This window comes from Homo sapiens, chromosome 9 (genome assembly GCF_000001405.40).
Source record: "Homo sapiens chromosome 9, GRCh38.p14 Primary Assembly".
NCBI classification, from domain to species: domain Eukaryota; kingdom Metazoa; phylum Chordata; class Mammalia; order Primates; family Hominidae; genus Homo; species Homo sapiens.
This window is the reverse complement of record NC_000009.12, coordinates 7,149,783-7,176,346: the sequence shown is the minus strand read 5'-3', so window position 1 is coordinate 7,176,346 and position 26,564 is coordinate 7,149,783. Positions and strand designations below refer to the sequence as shown.

The 26,564-nt window shown below is 42.2% G+C and overlaps 1 protein-coding gene across 18 annotated transcripts in view; it reads right to left on the bottom strand.

Moving 5' to 3' along the window:
• Nucleotides 1–698: 698 nt before the first annotated feature.
• The window catches only part of KDM4C (lysine demethylase 4C), a 454,786-nt gene continuing 428,920 nt past the window's right edge, over nucleotides 699–26,564 (bottom strand). For 16 of the 18 annotated variants that reach the window (NR_148680.3, NR_148679.3, NR_148677.3 and 13 more), the window contains 3 exons: nucleotides 10,990–11,109; nucleotides 6,457–6,549; nucleotides 699–1,794 (listed from right to left, as the gene is read on the bottom strand). Coding sequence is in view for 13 of the 18 variants with exons in the window: in NM_001353999.3 (NP_001340928.1) it covers nucleotides 1,618–1,794; nucleotides 6,457–6,549; nucleotides 10,990–11,109 (390 nt within the window). In the remaining 5 variants the exon portion in view is untranslated. Of the gene's footprint in view, nucleotides 1,795–6,456; nucleotides 6,550–10,989; nucleotides 11,110–26,564 lie in introns of those variants that run through there. The other 2 variants (NM_001304339.4, XR_001746255.3) reach the window with 2 other exon arrangements.

Sequence of the window (26,564 nt, the reverse complement as noted above, 5' to 3'; positions counted from 1 at the left end):
GATGTTAACCAGTGCCCCATAGAGGACTGAAATGTGCTTACTTGGCTGGGCTTCCTTGCTCTCCTGCCTCTGCCATTGACATGAGAAGAACATATCCGGGCTGCCCACTGGGTCCACTAGAATGATGGGAGACCCACGGAGCAGGTGTGTGAGCTAGTCCAAGCCAAGGTCAGCACGGCTGTCCAGCCAAGCCCTGCCTAGATGAGAGAAATAAATGCTTTTTGCTGCAGGCCACTAAGATTTTGCAATTTTGCAATTGTTTGCAATGCGGCAAAATGGTGGCCCCAGTTAACTGAAGCAGTCACCAAAACTGCCTGCCCTTGGGCATCCCTTTTCCTGTCTATCCTCCGGGTCTCATTTATACAATGAAGGAGGGACTGGAGGACCTCTAATTCCTACTAATGACAGCTGCGGACCAGGAATCCTGGAACGAAAAGTGATCCAGACTCAAGGGTCTGAGATGTATTCAGGGCCTAGAAGAAGTTGAAGAAAACACTTCCATTGGTACTGAAGTAGGCAGGCAGGGGACTTTGTCTCCAAAAATATCGCCATGCATGTGCCACAACCATGGAAAAAGTCAGCGACAGAAGGAGGGTCTGAAAAACCTGGGCCGCAGTATGTCCTGATAGCCAGCTCTCCAATAAACTTGTTTTTCTACTGGTTTAAACCCAGACAAATAAGCAAGTCAGAGACAGGACTGGAGAAAATGGAAATCTTTATTTTTAAACACTAGTACATTTTCAGGCTGTTTTAAAAAAGAAAAATCATGTTACATTAGTTCAAAACTATGCATCAAAGCATATTTATTTAAACTCTAATTTTACAAACACATAATGAAAGAAACATATATTTTATAAATATCTACTCGGAATATGTATTATGAAAAAAAGTGTTTAAAAATAACAGCCCCAGATCTCCCTCTTTAAATATATAAAATTCGCATAACAATTCATAAGAATTCTTTCTCAAGAGCCAAAAATTTCATTTCACAAAGGCCAACAACTCAGTTCCCATCAGACACAATCAAAAGTAATAGGAATATTCAAAAATGTAAAAGTTCTGTACAAGGGAAATACAGATAGCACACGGGTAAATCTCATTAGCATACATGCCATTTGTGTTTTAAAAATGTTTTATAAAAACTGCAATTTGAAACAAATAAGTGAGAGTCCTTCCCTGACTGTGGAAAATATATAAATTATCGCCCTACCCGCTGGGTACCGAGGTGCCACCTGCTGGAGCTAGAGAGAGAGGTCCCCGTGTGTTTCCTGACAGGGCCCTAAGCCGCACAAGGGGACCCGCCTCCTCTGTGGCAGTGGCTTTTCCTTGTGGGTGATTCACTAGTATTTCCTTTCACTTAGAAAACTTCTTTGGGATCATAGAAGACAACTGCTCACAAGTGAAAGCAAGACTAGAGATGATTTCAGATTGCTGCGTCCAATTCATTGGGTGTATTTTGTATTTTTGGTGACCAAACTCTGGAAACCCGATTTACCACTGTCAGAGACACACCCTGTCACCTATGCCAGCAAAACTCACGGCACAGCCCCAAGGATGTCCCTTCATCTTCTCTCTTCCAACCCAAGCTGCTCTGTGGCCTGCAGCGATGTATGCAGACTACTGTCTCTTCTGGCACTTCTTCTGGAAAGAGCTCTTCAAAAAAGTGCGGTATACAGGGTCGGCCACATATTCATTCTTAAACCTGGAGCTCAGCACTCTTTGTCTCTTTCTCTCCCCTTGGATAATGTCTGCTCCATAAAACGTGTCTTCAAATCGCATGTCAGAGGCTGTGGACTAAAAGCAGCTGGTGTTATATTGCAAAAGGGCACGGCATTTGATCTTCAGAACACTGGACAAAGATCTGACTCGGTCAGCTGGGGTTAGGGTGCAGATGCCCAGGTCACCAGCTCAGGCTAAAAGGGCCCCAGGCATGGCTTTGGGCTTTCCCTCGCCTCTCCCACCCAAAGTGGGGGGCTCCATTTAGCCCTACTTTCTCCAGGATCTCCCCACCCTCCAACCCCAGGGACCTTCCCCAAACAAAAGCAAGATTAAAGTCTTCTCGTTTTAAACTTCCCTCATTTTTCATCTCCCCTCTGTTTTTGACAAATGTCAACAGTCATCTCTAAGTTACCTTTACTCCTACTTAGCTTTGGGCCTCTGCCCCACCCCTTCCCTGAAACTGTTCTTGCTGAATGAAGTCCTAGTTGCTAATTCCTGTGACACCTTCCTATCCCTAAACTGACTTGACTAGTCTGCCAACTAATTACTGCTTAAAGCTCTCTTCTCTGTCATTTTGTAAACCCACTCTCCTGCTTCTCCTTCTCTGGCTGCTCACTTTTGATGTCTCAGGGGTTCCCTTTCTTAACTATCTGCTCAACTACGATGCCCTAAGGTTTGGCACTGGGCCTTCTCCTCTCCACTCCTGTTCCCTGGGCCTTTGTGCCCACACCCCTGGCTTCAGTGTCTGCAGGAGATGCTCACATCTGCTCCAGCTCAGGCCTGTAAGTGCATTTCCCCAGCAGGCATCACAAAGTCCCTGTCTCAGAGGCCCTTCAAATCAACCTGTCCTAAATTGAACTGAAAGCCTTCCTTCTTCATTGCTGTCCTTCCTACATTCCATAAAAGGCACCACCATGCCCATGCACCCAGTTACATTGGCCAGAAACCTAAAGGCACTGTAGACATTTCCCCACCGTGTCCAGGATTCCTCCTGCATGTACCTTGAAGCCCTTCAGCCTTTCTTCTTGATCCTTACCCTATGGGGCAGGCCCTCACCTCTGCAAAGCACTGCAATAAATGCTGTACCTCCAACCTATTTCCCACAGTACCACTGGAAGAAAGCTCTCTAAAAGCCCTCTTATTATAAGACTCTACATGATCATATGCCCTTGCTTGTAATTTTCCAGCAACCTACTGCCTTCAAGATGACATCCCCACTCCCCAGGCTAGACCTACATAACCTGGCCAGAAGCCTGCCCCGTGCTCTGCTCAGACGGCATCAGTTGCAGGGCCTGGTCATACTTGCCTGGCTCAGGGCCCCATGCTTCTCTGTCTTTGGACACACTGTTTCATTTCTGTGAAAGTTATTCTATTCTACTGTCTCTGCCCTCGGCAAGCTTAAGGGTCCTTCTTTGGGACTCCTGTGGCCCTGACACATCCACTCAGTAAGAGGAGGGCAGTGGTAGAGGTAAGGGGCAAGTAAGTTTCTCCCCATCAGGGGAACCCCATAAAGGTGAGGATATTAGGGACTGTGTACCCAATTTTACATGTGTTCCCCACAGCAAACAATGTGGCTAGTATTTGGCTGCTGTTCAGTAAGTGTTTGCTGAGTGAGGGCATGTGGCTTTTTCTGTGATAATCAGATAAAGCCTAAAGTCTATGGTAGGCACTATTTTTGCTTCCCAATTCCCTACTATCTTGCCTCCTAAAATGCACTGGCAGCTGTTTTCACTGAGGTGGATGACTTCTGATGACATCAACACACAGCACATTTCACTGTGCTGAGACTGCTTCCCCTGGCTGCTGGCAGAGGCAGAGGTGAAAGACACTTTAGGACTTGAAAACACACGGTCCATAGTAAAGAAGAGAAAAACAAGAAAACAGCCACAAGGAAGCCTGAAAACAAAAAATGTACCGAAGCGTAAAGCTGTTCATGTTTCCAGCCAGTTCATGGGACAGTTACTCAGGGTAACAGGCCACCTCCACGGCTTCCCCCACATACCACCTAGTTTCACTAGAGAAGAAAACTAAATCATTATGGGCTGGTTGGGTTCCCTCTGCCATTAGGAGAAAACACTTTTGTTTCATTCATTCTTGGCAAAATACTTCCTCTGAGTAATCTTTCACTTGTGTAAGTGCTAAAGTTATCAAAGAAGAAAATAAAACATCTATGAAAGTGTTGCCACTGTGCAGAAACAGCAAAAGTCGGCCTCTCAAATACAATAATAAAACCGATTTACCAGGAGCTCTAGCTAATTATGCACCGTTGCTATGGTTATTCTGTGAGACAATAAAAGGTAACGGGGCTGCTTCTGAAGTGAGTGGAAAAGAACCCCACACAATCACTGAGGTGGACTGCTGGCTCTTTTGAACAGTTTCTCCCCCAGTCAGCGTGTGTCTGGGTGAGCCGAAGTCATTAAAATACAAGGCCTCCTGACAAGGGCGGCTAACCTCCATCCTTAAAAAACAAAAAAGACTTTTCTAACCATAAAACATCTTCCATCAATGAGTTTTCCAATTAGATTTGTTTTGCCAACTGGAAAAAAAATAGTAATAATCATGGACAGACTAACCAAGGGTCTGAGGGCTATGTACCAACCCAGGGGAGAAACAGGCTGGCTACGACAAGACTGTGTATGTCTTTGATTCAATAAAGGTGGCCAACAGGACTTAGTGACCGTGAGCCTTTGTTCCCTAAGATATTTTCTACTTGGCTTAGCCGCTCAGAATAGCAGGCTGCATTCAGAGTGTATGGATGTGATTTACATATTTTCACTTTTTTTTTAATTAAAAATTTTTTCAGAGAATAAAAAAAAAATTGAATGTTGGTGAGCTTGTTCAGTGAAATAGACCTTAGAAAATCCAGGACCTGTGTTCCGAGACAGCCACAGGGGAAGGCATCCTGGTATCTGAGCGAAATCTACTGTGAAACAAAGAGATTGTGATCAGAGTATGAAAGCAATGAGCTTTCTTCTCATGTGATTAAGAAACAGTATTTGAAATCTACAAGACTCAGCTGGTAGGATGCTTAGTCATACATCGATTAGAAAATGAAAGACCCAAGAGACTTTGAGAGGCTACCTACTCCACTCCCCATCCTCTAAATCTCTAGGTGCTGAAAAAGGAAAAGAAAGGAGCGGGAGGAGCTGGGAATAAGGCAGGGAAGAGGGGAGTCCAAGGAAGACAGGAATACAGAACGAGACGAAGCTATCTCTAACATCTCGAAAAGGAAAGTTTTTCTCAAGAAATTTCAGGTCTCAGAACAGCGACAAGTCATCTAAGGTTTTTCGGTCTTGGTAAGATTTGGCTGGTATCTTTACAACAGGAATATTTAATTTTTTCTTTGCTTGCTGTCATTATCTAGTAGTTACTCTATTTACAGGTGTGTGGGTCCCCTCTGAGCCACATTTCCCATCGAGTGGGCAGCAATACCACCACTCCTCTTGACGATTTCACTTTGAAGGACCTTCCTCTGAAGGATGCAGCTGAGAGGAAAGTCAGTTCCCACCTGATGCAGTTACTCTGCTGTCAGGATCCCATCTGACTGGAAAAAAGCTGCATACACAACTGAACGTTTAAGGCAAGCGTGTCCAACCCATGGCCCGCCGGCTGCATGCTACCCAGGATGGCTTTAACGCGGCCAAACACAAATCTGTAAACTTGCTTAAAACATTATGAGTTTTTTTTTGCTTTTTTTTTTTTTTTTTTTAGTAGCTCATCAGCTATTGTTAGTGTAGTTTATGTGAGGCCAAAGACAATTCTTCTTCTTCAAGTATGGCCCAGGGATGCAAAAAGATTGGACATCCCTGATTTAAGAAAACCCTTGGTTTTTCCAAAATAACCAAATAATCTATAGTGACTCTATCACTGCAGACAAGTATATCATAAGCACTCACTAAACTGAATTATTCAGAAAAAAAATTTCATTTTAGTCAGAAAAACCCCATCCATTCAAATTTCTCTATTTAGGATTTATCATTTCACAGACACAATAGATATAATTCTAAATGAATAAAACTGACTTCATTTCAGGGTCCACTGAATATTTTATGATACAATAATATGAAGTCTAAATTATTGTGAATTATATTTTTCAATGACTGCAGTTTTGAATATTTGTCCATGTTTGTTCATCTTTTAATGGTATGTGAGGGCATGAAACTACTATTTCCTTTTTAAAAAACTGCTTTAGTATTCCCACAACTAGCATTTAGGCTTTGTTTATCCCTTTTATTATGAAAGTCAGAGTTTAGCTTAATGATGAACTGACACAAACATCAGTAACTTTCTGAGACAGAAGGTAGTCAATCCATGAAAAACCTATAAAAGAATAGACAGACATTCAATTATGCCGAGTCCCCTTTGATCTACTCCTGAATACTTTTAATGTTGCTTCTACTAACAAGATTGCAAATGCCTTGATGGTATCTTTGTTTGCTCCTGGTGTTTTACACAGAGCACACATTCAGTAAGTATTTTTGTGCACCAATAAATGTCAACACAAAGAAGCATCATGTGACTTCATTAGAAGAAAAGTAAAGCACATGCATTAATTTCCCCGATTTTGGTTGAATTTGAAGTTTGCATTCAATAGGTTCCACTAAGGAAAATGTTGCATTGGCTTTTTTTAGAATTAATCCAAAAGCCCAAGTATGTTTCCTGCTGGGCTTGGGAAACATGAGGTGAGGACAAGGAATTCACTTGGCAGGTCCCCAAGTGGCATCTGCCAGCACTTACAAATCGAGCTTTCACTCTCTTGGGTAACTCTTCATCTAAAGTGTAGATGTCCTCTCTCTTCATTGCTATCTGGGATCCATCTTCAAACTCAACCTAATGAAAGATAATATAACATGATACATATTAAAAAAACAGCACTGACCATTTTTAAAGGCTCCAATTAACTACATGAAAAGATGAAAAGGACTCAAACAGAACAAACAAGGGAACCAGCCAACAACCAAGGAAGTAAGAAGAGTTATTTCCCTTATTAAGTAGAGGCCGGGCATGGTGGCTCACGCCTGTAATCCCAGCACTTTGGGAGGCTGAGGCAGGCAGATCCCAAGGTCAGGAGATCGAGACCATCCTGGCCAACATGGTGAAACCCTGTCTAACAAAAATACAAAAATTAGCCAGGCATGGTGGCGCATGCCTGTAGTCCCAGCTACTCAGGAGGCTGAGGCAGGAGACCCGCTTGAAGCTGGGAGGCAGAGGTTGTAGTGAGCTGAGATCGCACCACTGCACTCCAGCCTGGTGACAGAGTAAGACTCCGTCTCAAAACAAAAAAATAAATAAATAAACTAAATACAAAATACATTTCAAAACAGGCCAAAATTCTTGGAAATGAGTGTCTTGGAATACAGGATATGAAAACTTTATCTGGCGAAGCAACAACAAAGAAAAGTAGCTGCTGATCAAATGGAAATCACAAAACATGAGACTGTGGGAAATTCAGCATTAAAATGGGTTGGGTCTGTCAGCACGGTTCATTTCTTTAAGAGGCTCTGACAACGTAACAAGGAGAATTGTTTCTCTCTGTGAAAGAAAAGATAATATATTTCCTTTTTTTTTTTTTTTTTTTAAATTGAGACAGGGCCTTGCCCTGTTGCTCAGGCTAGAGTGCAGTGGCCTGATCTCAGCTCACTGCAACCTCAACCTCCCAGGCTCAAGCAATCCTCCCACCTCTGCCTCCTGAGAAGCTGGAACCATAGCTGTGTGCCACAACGCCCAGCTATTTTATTTTATTGTAGTTTTTTAGTAGAGATAAGGTCTGACTAGACTCAAGCAATTCTCCCACCTTGGCCTCCCAAAGTGTTGGGATTACAGGTGTCAGCCACCATGCCCGGCCTGTTTACTCTTATATAATAATCCTCCCAGATAAAATAATTTATGCATTTCTTACAGAGCTTGAACTTTCAAAATTCACGTGTCAAATTCAATCAAATGCCATCAAAGGAGCTGGGAAAATCTGTTTCTCAACCTCCTAACATGTAAACCTCATCAATGTGTGAAAATACATCATCATCTAAAACAAAATGTTTAAAACTTTTCTCGCACTAACCAAATGGAAGCAAATAATTTCATAACCAATTGTTTTTAACATTTTAAAAGATTTTGTCAAAGAAAAGGTAAATAACACCAGCTAACAGAAACCTAGAGCACCTAGGTTTAGATTGGTTTAGGTTTAATACAACATGAACTAATCTAGCAGGAAACAAAACGGATGTAATCAGGTAGAATACTTAATATGTTCTAACTCTGAACCACATGGTATTTTTGAAGTCCCTAAATTTTGTCTGAATTTTTTAAAGAAATGAAAATATGCTTATACTTCTAGTCAAAAGGTAAGTTAAACCACACAGCTGTGCCATGTTAATAAAAAAAAAATCTAGAGTTTGAAAAAAATTTACACTAATTTTTTTTTGGTTTTTGGTTTTCTCTTGAGACGGAGTTTCGCTCTTGTTGCCTAGGCTGGAGTGCAACGGCGCGATCTCGGCTCACTGCAACCTCTGCCTCCTGGGTTCAAGTGATTCTTCTGCCTCAGCCTCTCAAGTAGCTGTAATTATAAGCATGCCGCCAACCATGCCTGGCTAATTTTTATACATTTTTTTAGTAGAGACGGGGTTGCACCACGTTGGCGAGGCTGGTCTCGAACTCCTGACCTCAGATGATCTGCCTGCCTCGGCCTTCCAAAGTGCTGGGATTACAGGCATGAGCCACTGTGCCCAGCTACACTTATTGTTTAATTCACAGAATGTCCAACTGATATATCGCTGCACTTTGCACTAAGCAAACACTCTCTTGAGTGGATGATAATATTAACTGGCCACATCTGTGCCAATGCATTGGTCTAGCTTTGCTGAGACACCCAGGTGGGTATGTCTCTCAGGCACAAGTTACCAATTCTGGTTGATGAACATCCACCACGGTCTTAATAAAGATCAAACATACAATTGAACGTATTATTATCCACGTACTGTTAGCATTTTGAATAAGCTAAACAATACAGTGGAATTAGGTGCCAGTCACATGAGAACCCTTGCTGTCACTTCCGGGAGGGCTAACAATGGGAAGGGTTTTCTTCCTGGCCTTGTTTGAGCAGAAACATTTCTTTAACATTGAACTAGGCCATAGTGTCATCTGATTTACCCAACTTAGTTGATAGCATAGCTAGAACCACCTGTGCCTACTTTCATTTGTTTTAGACCACTTAAAACATCGAAAAGACAAAAAGGCAATTACAAACCTAGAAGGGAGTATGCTGTGCTAGGACTAGGGTAACCAACCGTCCTAGTTCGCCTGGGACTCAAGGGTCCCTTGGGATGTAGTTATTTTCAGTACTAAAATCAGGGATGGTCCCAGGCAAGCAGGGATGGTTGTCCACCCTAGTTAGGGCAGAGCTGAGAGAGAATTTTGGCCCTCTCTTTACCAGCTGCGTGCTCTCGGACAAATTATTAAAAAATTATTCTTAAATCATTAAAAATTTTGTTCACAGCCTTTCTTCCCTCATTTGTAAGACAGGAGTCAATAACATCTATTTTGTAGGACTACTCTGAGGGTCAAAAAACGCATATGCCTAGGATATTAAGCACTGTGCAGCAGGTATTTATTTATCTGTCATATCTATTTTTAAAACTGTCTTTGTTTATTTGATGGTGAAGTTGAATAATTAGACACAAAACACAAAAAGATCTCAAAAGGCCACTTGGCTTAATGAGGAATTTTAAACTACTTGTGCTTGAGAGACAATTTTAATATTAGTCTTAACTTTTTCATTGAGTCTATAAATATGCTCATAGTTTTATGTTGATAGACCATCATAAATTCAACTGAAGTTAACACACTGATTACTAATTAGCCTGAATTTCAACATATTCTCATTATGTGATTCTTTTCATGTAGCAAATGGCTTTGCTACATGTAAGAAGCTTTGCTTTTGCACTTATTATTTAATTAAATGTAATTATTTTATTTTGCATTATGTAGTAATGCTTCTTTTCCAGGATCCTCCGGTATTATAGCCTGTCTTGCAATTTTTGCCTAATTCTGGTCATTCTAATGCAATGAAGCTCCAGTACCTTTACTATTATAAATAACTTGAATTTGTATCTTGAGACTGTCACCAATACCATATGCAAAGGGGGAAATGGCCTTTACACACACAGACACACATACACACATACACACACAATGTATGTGTATACATCCTCCCCTATCCATTCCCCTTAGGTTTTTCTAGACCATGAAAAACACTCTCTCCTAAGTTTTTCAAACTTCTTTGAACACCTTTAATTACACTGTGCTCCAGGTCCTGACGCAGTATCTTACAATGCACTCTTCCATTTAAGCTCTTGCTCCTTATCAGTCTTTGAACAATTTCTCTGTTGAAACTGACAGTCTTATCATTCTCAAGCTGTTTTTCAACAGGCCTGAACCTTCTTGCTTTTTCTCCTTTTACTTCAACCTTCTTGTTTTCACTCTACAGTTTAGCCTGAGAATCTTGATTTCTGACACAGTGTTACTGAAAATTCTACAATGTATTGGCTCTAAATGTCCCCTTTTAAAACCTTTCTGAAGGAATATAAATGTGCACGTGCTATCCATGTTGTTTCCCTTATTAAAGCTTAACTCATTCTCATTTCTGGGTGAAATAAAAGTAATTCATTTTAAAATTGTATATATACTCTTTAATACTACGTAGGGTTCCCTGGTGAACAGAACGTCCAACTGATAGCTGTACTTTTCATTTAAACAAGCATTCCTTTAAGCTTGGGTGGATGATAACCATCAGCTCCTTGTGACATTAACTGGCCACATCTATGTCAATGCACTGTTGTCTAGCTTTGCTGAGATAGCGGGGAGTGGGGAGACTATGTCTCTCAGCAAAAGCCACCACTTCAGGGGCTGCTGGTTGAAGAGTGGCCATCGCTGTCTTGGCTGAAGGTTAGATGAATCGGCCAACTAGTCGTTCCCCATACAACAGAAACAGTGGGAGGCAGCCTGTCTTCTAGTCACTTATCTTTCTGGCAGAACCATATTCCTTACAATTAAACCATTCATCAAATGCTGTTAAGAGTTTCCCAGTGTCCAACTTGGTAATAAAACTCCAGGGTTTCGACCTGGGTCATTACACATTGAATCTTTGCCTCCTGCATAAAATAAGAGGTGTCCCAAATTCATGTGGCTTATTGTTCAGCAGCACACTTGAGATACTATCTCCTTCTGACTTATCATGTCAATCTTAGCAAGCATCACAGAGAAGGAAGAACCCACCTGGTACATGTGGGCAATATTTGATCCAAAATATTTTGCTCCATAGAGTTTGCCATCGGGCCACTTGACTTGGACGACTTCTCCCTCAGCAGGTGGGCCCAGCTTCAGACAGTCTCGGCTCTGCAGAATAAACAGAGACAGGCTTTTCAAAAGGAGTGCCTAAGTGACTGCATTTAGAACTTAGCAAATGATGAACTCCTGGCAATTAAAAGGAGTTATTGCCTCTGTGTTTTATGGATTATGATCTCGCATGGGTGTTCAGGGGAAGAGATATGAGCCAAAGGAGTATTTAAAGATTCAGCCTACATCATAAAGTTGCAAAGGAGCCACCATAATCCAAGCAGAAAAAAACAGCAGCATTTACATTTGCTATTTGAAAAAGAATTGTTTAGGGGGTAACTAAAATATGCATAGAAACCGCTTTAGCTGAGGAATAGACCAGCTAATGATTTATAACACCTGACATTTATATAGCATTTTGCAGTTAACAAAATGCTTCAGCATACATCTCATGTGATCTTATAATCACCCCATGACATAGAAAGAGACTATTAATTATCCCCATTTTACTGACAAGGAAACTGAGACTCCTGCGAGGCTTTAAGTTGCCAGGATCTCTGGAGGAGTGAAGCTATGGGAGACTAAAAGACACCCAGGTGGAAGTGGAGCAGGGGACAAATGGCGTGCGATTGAAGCCGGTAGGACTTGCCAATAAAGCAGAGAAGGGAAAACAGGAGCACCTGCAGCACGGCGGGTGGAGCTGGGTGGGTGTGTCCTGTTTAGCACGGCCCTTCTAAAGACACCCTGGACCCCCCTACATAAATGTGCTTCTGCCAGCATCTCCTGTTAATTGACGAGCCCACCTTTTTCTGCAGGTAATCATGGTGGCACCCATAACCAGAATCTTTTCATTTCAGATCTTCTGTTTCATATTGCCACCTCCCAAGGCAGTAATTCAGAGCAAACTCCCCAGGTGATTAATCCTGAAAGGTGCTTTTTGTTTTTTTAAGGCGTGGCAGGGGGACAGGGAAGTTAGTAAAACATTTAAACATTTGTTCAGACATAGTTTGCAAACTTTTAAATTTGTATGTATTGAGTAGGACACAATACAATTTTAATACAAGGGAATTAAATACTTGACTATGGTAATTTTTATTTTTGCACATTTAGCAATTCATGATTTGCTAATACTGGTATTTTACTGATGAGGACAATCTGAATGAAATGCACACTTGACCAATCAAGCTATAAATGCAGACTGGGCATATTCTGTGGTTTAAATGAGAGGCATACACAGGAAGTATTTAGTTGTTTATGATTGGAAATCTACCATGTACTATTTCTTATTACTAATAGAAATTGTGCCTTATAAAGGAGTGGCCATTTGATTGCTGGGTTAGGAGTATACATGGAAGGCCCGGCTGTTCATTTTTCTAACTGCAGGCTATGCTTCCATTGGAGCTAAAGCAAAGAAAAAAATAGTTTGCTCGGAGGCTCTACAGAACTGACAATATGCATCTAACTTAGCCAAATGAAAGTAAGTCTATCCTTGGCCCTCATAGGACTTGACCTCAGGGCATGTGGAATTGAAAGGGTAGGCTGTGGAGATGTACTCAATGTATTCCCATGGGGTTATCACCTTTCTCTCCATTTCCCTTCCCAAGATTTATGCGGTACCGAGAACACTGGAAGGTATAGCTTCTGAGTACAAACTGATTACATGCGTCAGTCTCCGAGGTTAGAGAGTCGCATCAGCTCTGGATTCCTCTGAGCTGAAGCCCAGGTGCTGGGGTAAGTGTGGCGGCAGGAGGTGGCATATGCTTCTCCTGCTGCTAAAGATGTCTCCCATGTGGAGGGATCTCCACTTGGGTAATACATCTGGCTCATCTTCACCCCCTCTTAGCCTTTTACAAGAGGATTAGTTACGACTTAATTTTATTTTTGAATTCTGAAGGAGACTGTATTTCCCAAACTATGTGCCATGGTGCTCTGCAGTGCTACAGCAAACTCACAGGGACCCTGTGGGATACATTCAAGAGAAGCACGGTGACACTTGTGAGGCACCTAGCTTACTAATACTGATGAGTTATTTGGACCTAATTTACTTAACACATAGAACTGTTAGGTACTTCTTTTGACTGAGAGGCACTATAAAAAGCATGCTGAGGTACTAAGGGTGCCTGCAAGCCAAGAAAGTTTGGTGACCTCTAGCTCAGCTCCTTCCCTTTCTCTCTGGAGCCATCATGCAGACAGAGAACCTGCACTCTGCTCTGCTCCTTCCACGGAGAGGAGCCTGCACTTTCCTGCACGGCCCATCACTAGGTAAGCCTGTCTAATTCCAGGGTCCAGTATTTGAAACCTGTTTGCCAACAGATATAAGCCACACTCCTCAATATCTGCTTTATCACTCATAAAGGTGATACTTTACATCTCCAAATCCTGACTCCTTTGTCTCGCTTTTCCTCAGGCAGGGCGAGACATGCTATTTATTGGGTCCTTCTCGAATCCCAACAGAGGCAAGTCAACGCCTCAGGAAATACATGAGGCTGTACCCTGCACTTTCTTACCCACCACAAACAACTTTCAAGCAGGAGAGTTACGGCCTCCCCTTCTTTATCATTTAGGTCCTTAATTTTACAGATTTGCCCTTCAGCAGAACTTTATTAACCTTTAAAATAAAATCCCTCAAAATAAATCCTGACTTGCAATTTTAGGTACCATATCACCAAGGAGAGCTGAGGGACATGGAAACGTGGACTGGACAAGCATAAATTGCATTCGAGCAGTTTAATCCTAAAAACATAGTTTTATTAACAAACTGAATAGATGAACTTTACTAAGTGACAATTCTTTTTTCAAAAACCTTTTGGAAACAATGCCTGAGATAGTTAGATATCTTTTATTACTAATTGTAAATTCACCTTTCACTCACAGGAAATCTTAATCCAGCATTGGCAGTGCCTGACCTCAACTAACCACTTACTGCTCAGCCTCCTCCTAACGTTGCTCTGTATCCTAATGTTGCTCTCTATCAGCCACAAAGATAAAATTCATAATCTTTCATGCCAAACTCAAGAAGACATTTCAGTTTGCTTTCTCAATCTTCTTGCTTTCAGAACTCTTTTTCTTTACTTATAGAAGAAGAAAAATAACAAACCAACTATGTAACAAGATAAGTTATTCTGTGCCTCCCCCACCTCCAAAACCAGGGGGCACGATTCTCATCCATAACAGCTCCTTTCTCACCCTGCACCAGGTCATTCAGCTGGAAGGACATATATTTTGATTAGCATATAACTTTATTTAGTATGTAAAATTCAGTATTTACTCCTTAGCTACTTTCCAAATGAAGTTAAGGTAGCTCGGAGTAAAACATAAAAGAGCTTATTTCTGTAACATCTACTTTCATCCATAAAGAAATAGTGTCAATTCATCAGCTGTTTCACATTTTGAGTTTGCCAGCAACTTCCTATGACTATGTGGGGTATAAATTTAAACAAGAATGAGACTAGAAGCATGTGAGCTGATGAAAAGAAGTTGAAAGGTTTGATATTTAGGCTTCTCTGATCTCTCCAAAGTAGAAGCTGGTGGGTGTCCCCAAAATTGTTTCAATCACTAATTCAAAACCTATTTACTGACCACCTAATGTGTGTGAGACACTAGGAGGCAATAAAGCCCAGCAGCCCAAGCCAGGGACAGACAGAGGGCATTGCACCCACACGTGAGGCCTGTCACACTAAACCCCATGGCTCTGTGGGGTGCAGGTCTTCAGGGTCCTTGCAAGGGGGGAGATCTATGAGGGCTTCAGAGTAGAACTTTGATTTTATTTACAAATAAGGTTTCTGAGTAAGATTTCATTCGGGGTAGAGAAGTTTCTTTTAAAAATAAAAGGTCTGGAAGATGGCCAAATAGGAACAGCTCCCGTCTGCAGCTCTCAGCGTGATTGATGCAAAAGACGGGTGATCTCTGCATTTCCAACTGAGATACCTGGTTCATCTCATTGGGACTGGTTGGACAGTGGGTGCAGCCCACAGAGGGCAAGCTGAAGCAGGGTGGGGCATCACCTCAGCTGGGAAGTACAAGGAGTCAGGGGATTTCCAATTCCTAGCCAAGGGAAGCCTTGACAGACTGTACTTGGAAAAATGGGACACGCCTGCCCCAATACTGCACTTTTCTCAAGGTCTTAGCAACCAGCAGAAAGGAGATTCTCTCCCGTGCCTGGCTCGGTGGGTCCCGTGGCCATGGAGCCTTGCTCACTGCTAGCGCAGCAGTCTGAGACTGAAGTGCGAGGTGGCAGCCTGGTTGGGGGAGAGGCGTCTGCCATTGCTGAGGCTTGAGTAGGTAAACAAAGCGGCTGGGAAGCTTGAACTGGGTGGAGCCCACCGCAGCTCAACAAGGCCCACTGCCTCTAGACTCCAGCTCTGTGGGCAGGGCATAGCTGAACAAAAGACAGCAGACAACTTCTGCAGACTTAAACTTCCCTGTCTGACAGCTCTGAAGACAGCAGTGGTTCTCCCAGTGAGGCATTTAATCTCTGAGGAAGGGCACACTGCCTCCTCAGGTGGGTCCCTGACTCCCATGTAGCCTAACTGGGAGACAACTCCCAGTAGAGGTAAACAGACACCTCATATAGGTGGCTCCCCTTCTGGGACGAAGCTTCCAGAGGAAGGATCAGGCAGCAATATTTGCTGTTCTGCCTCCAATGGTGATCCCCAGGCAAACAGGGTCTGGAGTGGACCTCCAGCAAACTCCAACAGACCTGCAGCTGAATGACCTGACTGTTAGAAGGAAAACTAACAACCGGAAGGGAATAGCATCAACATCGACAAAAAAGACATCCACGCCAAAACCCGATCTGTAGGTCACCAACATCAAAGACCAAAGGTAGATAAAACCACAAAGATGTGGAGAAACCAGAGCAGAAAAGCTGAAAATTCTAAAAATCAGAGCACCTCTTCTCCAAAGGATCACAGCTCCTCGCCAGCAACGGAACAAAGCTGGAGGGAGAATGACTTTGACGAGTTGACAGAATAGGCTTCAGAAGGTCGGTAATAACAAACTTCTCCAAGCTAAAGAGGCATGTTCAAACCCATCGCAAGGAAGCTAAAAACCTTGAAAAAAGATTAGACAAATGGCTAACTAGAATAAACAGTGTGGAGAAGACCTTAAATGACCTGACAGAGCTGAAAACCATGGCACGAGAACTTTGTGACGCACGCACAAGCTTCAACAGCCAACTCGATCAAGTGGAAGAAAGGGTATCAGTGATTGAAGATCAAAATAATGAAATTAAGTGAGAAGACAAGGTCAGAGAAAAAAGAGTGAAAAGAAACGAACAAAGCCCCAAGAAATATGGGTCTATGTGAAAAGACCAAATCTGCATTTGATTGGTGTACCTGAAAGTGATGGGGAGAATAGAACCAAGTTGGAAAACACTCGTCAGGATAGTATCCAGGAGAACGTCCCCAACCTAGCAAGCGAGTCCAACATTCAAATTCAGGAAATACAGAGAACACCACAAAGATACTCCTTGAGAAGAGCAACCCCAAGACACATAATTGGCAGATTCACCAAGGTTGAAATGAAGGAAAAAGTGTTAAGGGCAGCCAAGAGAAAGATAGGGTTACCCACAAAGGGAAGCCCATCAGACTAACAGCAGATCTCTCAGCAGAAACCCTACAAGCCAGAAGAAAGTGGGGGCCAATATTCAACATTCCTAAAGAAAAGAATTTTCAAGCCAGAATTTCATATCCAGCCAAACTAAGCTTCATAAATGAAGGAGAAATAAAATCCTTTACAGACAAGCAAATGCTGAGAGATTTTGTCACCACCAGGCCTGCCTTACAAGAGCTCCTGAGGGAAGCACCACACATGGAAAGAAACAACCGGTAGCAGCCACTGCAAAAACATGAGAAATTGTAAAGACCACCAATGCTATGAAGAAACTGCATCAACTAACAGGCAAAATAACCAGCTAACAACATAATGACAGGATCAAATTCACACATAACAATATTAACCTTAAATGTAAATGGGCTAAATGCCCCAATTGAAAGACACAGACTGGCAAACTGGATAAAGAATCAAGACCCATCAGTGTGCTGTATTCGGAAGACCCAGCTCATGTGCAGAGACACACACAGGTACAAAATAAAGGAATGGAGGAAGATCTACCAAGCAAATGGAAAGCAAAAAAAGCAGGGATTGCAATCCTGGTTAAACAGACTTCAAACCAACAAAATCAAAAGAGACAAAGAAGGCCATTACATAATGGTAAAGGGATCAATTCAACAAAAAGAGCTAACTCTCCTAAATATATATGCACCCAATACAGGAGCACCCAGATTCATAAAGCAAGTCCTTAGAGACTACAAAGAGACTTAGACTCCCACACAATAATAATGGGAGACTTTAACACCCCACTGTCAATATTAGACAGATCAACGAGACAGAAGGTTAACAAGGATATCCAGGACTTGAACTCAGCTCTGCACCAAGCAGACCTAAAAGACATCTACAGGACTCTCCACCCCAAATCAACAGAATATACACTCTTCCCAACACCACATTGCACTTATTCTAAAATTGACCACATAGTTGGAAGTAAAGCACTCCTCAGCAAATGTAAAAGCACAGAAATCACTGTAAACTGTCTCTCAGACCACAGTGCAATCAAATTAGAACTCAGGATAAAGAAACTCACTCAAAACCGCTCAACTACATGGAAACTGAACAACCTGCTCCTGAATGACTACTGGGTAAACAACGAAATGAAGGCAGACATAAAGATGTTCTCTGAAACCAGTGAGAACAAAGACAACATACCAGAATCTCTGGGACACATTTAAGCAGTGTGTAGAGGGTAATTTATAGCACTAAATGCCCACAAGAGAAAGCAGGAAAGATCTAAAAATCGACACCCTAACATCACAATTAAAAGAACTAGAGAAGCAAGAGCTACTGGAAGACAAGAAATAACTAAGACCAGAGCAGAACTGAAAGAGATAGAGACACAAAAAACCCTTAAAAAAAAAAAAATCAATGAATCCAGGAGCTGGTTTTTTGAAAAGATCAACAAAATTGATAGACCGCTAGCAAGAATAGTAAAGAAGAAAAGAGAGAAGAATCACATAGATGCAATAAAAAATGAAAAAGGGGATATCACCACTGATCCCACAGAGAATACTACCATCAGAGAATAATATAAACACCTCTATGCAAATAAACTAGAAAATCTAGAAGAAATGGATAAATTCCTGGACACAAAGATTCTCCTAAGACTAAACCAGGAAGAAGTTAAATCACTGAATAGACCAATAACAGGCTCTGAAATTGGGGCAATAATTAATAGCCTACCAACCAAAAAAAGTCCAGGACCAGACGGATTCACAGCCGAATTCTATCAGAGGTACAAAGTGGAGCTGGTCCCATTCTTTCTGAAACTATTCCAATCAACAGAAAAAGAGGGACTCCTCCCTAACTCATTTTATGAGGCCAGCATCATCCTGATACCAAAGCCTGGCAGAGACACAACAAAAAAAAGAGAATTTTTGACCAATATCCCTGATGAGCACTGATGCAAAAATCCTCAATAAAATACTGGCAAACCGAATCCAGCAGCTCATCAAAAAGCTTACCCACCATGATCAAGTTGGCTTCATCCCTGGGATGCAAGGCTGGTTCAACATACGCAAATCAATAAATGTAATCCATCACATAAACAGAACCAATGACAAAAACCACACGATTATCTCAATAGATGCAGAAAAGGCCTTCGACAAAATTCAACAGCACTTCATGCTAAAAACTCTCAATAAACTAGGTACTGATGGCATGTATCTCAAAATAATAAGAGCTATCTATGACAAACCCACAGCCAATATCATAATGAATGGACAAAAACTGGAAGCATTCCCTTTAAAAAGCGGCACAAGACAAGGATGCCCTCCCTCACCACTCCTATTCAAGATAGTATTGGAAGTTCTGGCCAGGGCAATCAGGCAAGAGAAAGAAATAATGGGTATTCAATTAGGAAAAGAGGAAGTCAAATTGTCCCTGTCTGCACATGACATAATTGTATATTTAGAAAAACCTATCATCTCAGCCCAAAATCTCCTTAAGCTGATAAGCAACTTCAGCAAAGTCTCAGGATACAAAATCAATGTGCAAAAATCACAAGCATTCCTATACACCAAGAACAGACAAACAGAGAGCCAAATCATGGGTGAACTCCCATTCACAACTGCTACAAAGAAAATAAAATACCTAGGAATCCAACTTACAAGGGATGTGAAGGACCTCTTCAAGGAGAACTACAAACCACTGCTCAACAAAATAAAAGAGGACGCAAACAAATGGAAGAACATTCCATGCTCATGGATAGGAAGAATCAATATTGTGCAAATGGCTACACTGCCCAAGGTAATTTATAGATTCAATGCCATCCCCATCAAGCTACCAATGACTTTCTTCACAGAATTGGAAAAAACTACTTTAAAGTTCATATGGAACCAAAAAAGAACCCACATTGCCAAGACAATCCTAAGCCAAAAGAACAAAGCTGGAGACATCACGCTATCTGACTTCAAACTATACTACAAGGCTACAGTAACCAAAACAGCATGGTACTGGTACCAAAACAGAGATATAGACCAATGGAACAGAACACAGGCCTCAGAAATAACACCACACATCTAAAACCATCTGATCTTTGACAAACCTGACAAAAACAAGAAATGGGGAAAGGATTCCCTATTTAATAAATGGTGCTGGGAAAACTGGCTAGCCATATGTAGAAAGCTGAAACTGGATCCCTTCCTTACACCTTATATAAAAATTAACTCAAGATGGATTAAGACTTAAATGTTAGACCTAAAACCATAAAAACCCTAGAAGAAAACCTAGGCAATACCATTCAGGACACAGGCATGGCCAAGGACTTCATGACTAAAGCACCAAAATCAATGGCAACAAAAGCCAAAATTGACAAATGGCATGAAATTAAACTAAAGAGCTTCTGCACAGCAAAAGAAACTACCATTAGAGTGAACAGGCAACCTACAGAATGGGAGAAAATTTTTGCAATCTACCCACCTGACAAAGGGCTGATATCCAGAATCTACAAAGAACTCAAATTTACAAGAAAAAGAACAAACAACCTCATCAAAAAGTGGGCAAGGGATATGAACAGACCCTTCTCAAAAGAAGACACTTATGCAGCCAACAGACACATGAAAAAATGCTCATCATGACTGGTCATCAGAGAAATGCAAATCAAAACCACAAGATACCATCTCACACCAGTTAGAATGGTGATCATTAAAAAGTCAGGAAACAACAGATGCTGGAGAGGATGTGGAGAAATAGGAACGCTTTTACACTGTTGGTGGGAGTGTAAATTAGTTCAACCATTGTGGAAGACAGTATGGCGATTGCTCACGGATCTAGAACTAGAAATACCATTTGACTCAGCAACCCCATTACTGGGTATATTCCCAAAGGATTATAAATCATGCTACTATAAAGACACATGCACATGTATGTTTATTGCCACACTATTCACAATAGCAAAGACTTGGAACCAACACAAATGTCCATCAATGTTAGACTGGATTAAGAAAATGTGGCACATATACACCATGGAATACCATGTCAGCCATAAAAAAGGATGAGTTCATGTCCTTTGAAGGGACATGGATGAAGCTAGAAACCATCATTCTCAGCAAACTATCGCAAGGACAGAAACCCAAACACTGCATGTTCTCACTCATAGGTGGGAACTGAACAATGAGATCACACGGACACAGGGCAGGGAACATCACACACCGGGGCCTGTTGAGGGGTGGGGGGATGCGGGAGGGATAGCCTTAGGAGAAATACGTAATGTAAATGACGAGTTGATGGGTGCAGCAAACCAACATGGCACATGTATACCTATGTATCAAACCTGCACATTGTGCACATGTACCCTAGAACTTAAAGTATAATTTAAAAAAAAATAATAAATAAAAGGTCTGAAAAAAATTAAGTATATCAAAAGGTCTAAAAATGAAGGGATTTAATTTATGAAATGCAACAACTTGAGTGGTCTGCCCTCCCTCTTACAGGTCTCCAGCTGGTTCACATATCCTTGGGTTCAGCACCAGGAACCAGGCACTAGAGCACAGCTTCTCAAAGCGTGTTCCCAACCCTGGGGCACACATTAAAAATGAGAATTCCAGGTATCCCCAAAGCTCTCTCTGACTTGGGCGACTTCTTTTAAGCAATCTAGAATCTAAGGTCAATTATAGAAAAGGATGTAAAATACTAAAGAGGCTTTTCCTAATGCAGTTTACTTAGTATGTTACTGGAGTAAGTAAACACCTTTGCTGGAAAATTATATGCATTAAAACCTTGACAAATGCATTTTTCTCAGTTGCTGTCCAGACTCTTTGAAGCAGTCCATCTTCACCTAACATAAATAGCTGTTTGCCGTTTGCTGTACTGCCTCTAGGGATGTGTAAACTCGCCTGAAATCTACCAGAGCCTTGTTCACAAGGACACTGGTGTCTGGAGCTGCCAGTAAGCCCGTAGCTGCAGTACTAAATAGATGATGTGAAAATTAAAGACAGAAATCATAATCACGGTGAAGAGTGGCCTTTTGGCTGTGATCAGTTACTTCAAGGACTGATAGGAGTACTCAACCTAGGGCAAGAGGATGGTGTCATTACATTCCTGCCAAAGTCAGGGCCAAACTCCTATACTTGCTCCATCAACTAAAAGGAAAAATTCATCTGCCAGTCTGATTACCTGAATTCTGAAGTCACTGAGTTCTTGGAACTCTTACGAGACCCTTCTAAAGGGATCCCTAGAAGCTGCTGTCCTCAAATGTTGCCTTAGCCCTATCCCCACCCCCATCACTACTCCTTACGTGTATAAACCACAGAGCAGGTAGCCCCATCTGTGAGCAGAGTTGCACCAGATGAAGACGTGGCACATGTGTTCCCAGTAGTTAATCGGCATATAGTTTGGCTCCTCTGGCAGTCCCCCTTGGGGAGAATGCTTAGGTGACCTGGGGCGAAATGCCAACAGCTGCTATCGTTTCCAGAGATAATCACCTGCTCATTACTGGACCCTGGCAGGGATTAACAAGACTGACAGACAGCCACGTAAGTATCATAGTGGCTATCTGTCATCTGTTCGGCTGCCCAGCTTTGGAACCCCCTTCTCCCCAGTCTAATGGGGGCTGAGCTGGCCTGACATCACAGTCACTGAACACTGCCAGACACTCCCTTCCCCAGCTTCCCTCACAGCAAAGACAACTACAGCGGCCTGGCCAGTGGGCTGCACCAGCCCAGGATTTAGAACCTGTGATCAGAGATGCAGAGAAACAAGTAGAAGAGAGAATTCTCTCAGACAGCAGCAGCAGCAGCAGCACCCACAGGCCTACAGCAGAGGTTAGGTCCAGTCTCACCACATAAGGGGAGGCAGTGTGTCCTTCCTGGATGGCATCTGTGGTCTGGTCTTGCCCATAGCTGCAGCTGAACAGCCTCCTTTTTGTTCTTGCCTATTTTCTGACCTTTGTTCTTCTGCATTCCTGGAGATTCTGGAAGCTCCCCAATAACCTTTCACTAAATTTCTGTACAGGCTAAATCAATGTCAGTTTCTGTTGGTTGCCATTAACAACCCTGATAAGTAACCGCTAGTTTGCATGATGACAGATCCCTCCTCCCACAAAATGGAAAGAAACCTCTCACTTAACAATGGAATATAAAACTGGAGGACTTCCCACACCATGCAAAGGCCCAGCTGCAAAACCATCCTCCTCAAAAAGAAGGGAGCATATTGATGGAAGCATCTACCTGTTCACAAGGCTTGGTCCTAGATGACCGGCAGCAGTCTCCCAAGTTTTCAATACCCCCCAGTGTAAGGATGTGCGCTCTCTGAGGATATCCACAAGAATGTATTCCAGACAATAAAGTCACCAAGCACCGGAGGAATGGCCAGCTCTTAGCAATGGCCTCTCAAGGGGGCTACTCTGATGGGGATACACCACTTTGGACTGCTTGTTAAACATGTCATAAGCACCCTTCATGTAGAGATTAGCAAAGAATGCAAACACTTAAAAATTATTTTTAAGGCTGGGCATGGTGGCTCACCCAAAGTGTAATCCCAGCACTTTGGGCGGCCAAGGTGGAAGGATCACTTGAGCTCAGGAGTTCAAGACCAGCCTGGGCAACATAGCAAGACCCCATCTCTATAAAACAAAAAAGAAGAAAAAGTATTTTTATGAGTAATTCTGAGCTTCTATATATTCATTAGGGAGAAACTGTAAAATTTCTTAAAGATAGGAAAAAATTTTAAAACCTCATATTTCTATCACAAGTGATCACTGTCACCACATTTGGAGTTTTTTCCCTGTACTTCTAATTTTTAAAACTAATTTAAAGAATTTTTCTCTGTGCTCTTTTCTTTAAGAATTAGGACATCCTATACATGCACAATCTTTCCCCTGCAGCCGGTCCAGCCTTTATTTTCTTTCATGTTAGAATACAGCTGATCTGTCTCTAAAGCTATTTGTCAAGAGCTTGGAACTGAGTTCATGCCATGTTCCTTCGCCTCCTTCCACAGCATTTTGGGGTGGAGGCCCTTTCTTTTTTATTGGGGTAAAATACCCATAACACTAAATTTACCATTTTAACCACATTCAATTGTAAATTTCAGTGACATTAAGTTCAAAGTGTTGTGACTTCATCACCACTCTCCATCTTCAGAACTTTATCTTCCCAAACAGAAACTCTGCACTCATTAAACACTAACTCCTCATTCTCTCTCTCATCAGCCCCTGGCAATCACCATTCTCCTTTCTGTCTCTGAGAATTTGACTATTCTAGGTACCTCATGTAAGCGAAATCCTACAATATTTCTTTCGTGGACATATATAATTTTGTACCTTGCTATTTGCCACCTACGATTACATCATGAGCATTTTGTTAGCTATTAATTATCTTTTAAAAACTCTGTTTTACTTGCCAAATATATGCAACAGTATAGATGAACCACAACTAATTTAGCCACTCCTTTATTAAATATTTAGGTCACTGCAATTTTCCCCTATCATACATAATGCTATTGTATATTTGTTATCATAAATCTTTGTCTGAATTACTGACTCTATTCTTAGACTCCTAGAATAAGAGTTACTTGGTAAAAAGGCATATAAACTATTTATAAACTTAGTTTCATCAGCTTTGAAAAATTCAACATCAGACTCATTTCTCTAGTGCAGTAAATAAATCTAATGTTAACCACCAGAGAAATTTCTGATTCAGCTGGTCCAAGCCAAATGCCTTTCCAGGCAATCTCATGCTCAGCAGGGTGGGAACTGCTGTTCTAGGAGGTTATCTCGCAGCCTAAACTATACATTCTGTGTATAACGAAAGAACCAATTCTGTGCCCCTTCTTCTGACTGCGTCTTTTTCAGAGTGAGAGCTTTCTAACATGCTTAGAAGAAAATGTGGAATGCTTCCACACTGAGGTATCTGTATCTAAGCGTGTTCTGTGCTGGTTCTAGACCCCTGTAATTTCAGGCTCTGGGTTAATCGATTCAAGCCAAGCTGCTTCTATACTGACACTAATCATTCTGGGAAACTCCAAGTCTATCCAAGTCTACTGTCCACTTTCCCTTTTTAATAGTTTTGACACAGGGTCTCACTCCTGTCGCCCAGGCCGGAGTGACTGCAGTGGCACTATCACAGCTCACTGCAGCCTTGGCTTCCCGGGCTCAGGTGATTCTCCCACCTCAGCCTCCCAAATAGCTGAGAATACAGGTGCGTGCCACCATGCTTGGCTAATTTTTTTTTAAAAGTAGAGATGAGGTCTTGCTATGTTGCCCAGCAACATAGCTGGGCACAACCACTTCCGCCTCCCGAAGTGCTGGGATTACAGGTGTGAGCCAGCACGCCTGGCCTTGTTTGTTTCTAAAGGACACATACACACCCTTTCTGAACTCCAAGATGCTGTGGTTGTCCCTTAAGCTGAAATGAAGCCCATCTTGCTTACTCAAACAGCCAATTTTTTTTTTTCCACCAGTCACACTTGGCCAATGTCCTCATACACAGCTATACCTATTTTCTAAAAGATAGGTCTGTTATTTTCACAAAAATAAAAGCACTAAAACTTATTTGGTGAATTCCTGAAGGCCATCTAGTTTTTTGTGGTTGTTGCTTTTTATAGAGACAAGGTCTCACTATGTTGGCAAGGCTGGTCTTGAACTCCTGCCCTCAAAAGGTCCTCCTGCTTCAGCCTCCCAAAGTGCTGGGATTACAGGTGTGAGCCACAGTGCCTGGTCCGCTGCTTTGTTAGTACGTACTTTCCCTCCAATGATGAGCCCAAAGTGGACACGATGCTTGGTTAAGGTACTGAGGTCCCAGAGACGGAGGTTGTTTTATTATTCTGGAAGTTATTATAGCATTAAGCCTCAGAGGTATATTTTCCAAAGCAGCCACATCTTTATGATATTAGAAATAGGTGAGATTCTGGCATGCAAAAACCTTAAAAGGCCTAGAAAGTACAAAGGCAGCTGTTTTTGGAAATTATTTTTCTGGTTCCTTTGAAGTGAGGAAGCATAACAAACGCCAATAACTAGAAACAGGGTTGACACTGCGGGGTTGACCACACCCAAAAGGGCCTGCAGGGGAGGGACCAGGAAGGCAATGTGGGCACAAGAGCAGCAGTTCTAACCCACTGGTAAGAGATTCTCTGCATTCCTGCCTTCTCCTTCCCTCTGAGTGTGTCCTCTGGGCCAGGGACTGAGCTCAGCACTGAGAAAACAGAGACAAAAAAGACCCAGCCCTCTCGGAGACATTTCTCTCCAAGGATTCAGATCCAGCTGGGGACTCAAATACACACATGAATATCTGCAATACAAGGCACTGTGTGTGACTGTAGGTAGTTAGGCAAAGAGGTGGGAACTCTGTGTCTGTGACCCGCCCTCCCAGGACATCAACTGTGTTCAGGACTTTCCTCTTAAGATTAACCAAAGTTCCTCATGCCACTTCCTCCACGTTAAGCCACCCTGCACACAAACTGAGCTAATTATAGACACCTCTCTCAGGACAAGTTGTGGTGAGAGCAATAATACAGGCCTTAAAGAAAGAGGTGAAAGGGAGAAGCCAGAGGGCGGCTCCTGCGGCACTCTGTGGGGACCACTGTTTGGGGCTCCGGCATTGTCAACCTGATTTCGTTTGGGCTCGCATAGCTGGTCAGTCTATCCCACTGACCGTGTTGAGTGGTGTAGCCAAACAGGAGACAGAGTTGTAGCCCTGACCCCTTCCTCTCCCTTTCTACAGTATTCTGGAATGATCCCACTCGTGATCTCAGGGCTGTGCCCCACCATACCAGGAGCCAAAATAGGAAATCTTCCAAGTTCAACTCCTGAAAGCTCCAAATATAAAAACTACTTAAATAAGGAATTTATACGTGTAAAGCTTTCTGACACTTCCTCTTAGATCCTTCTTTCAGTAACCTCTTCTTTATTTAAAGGTATGGAAGATGTAGGGTGAAAAAATGTTTCTAGAAATCTTGTGCTTAGGGAC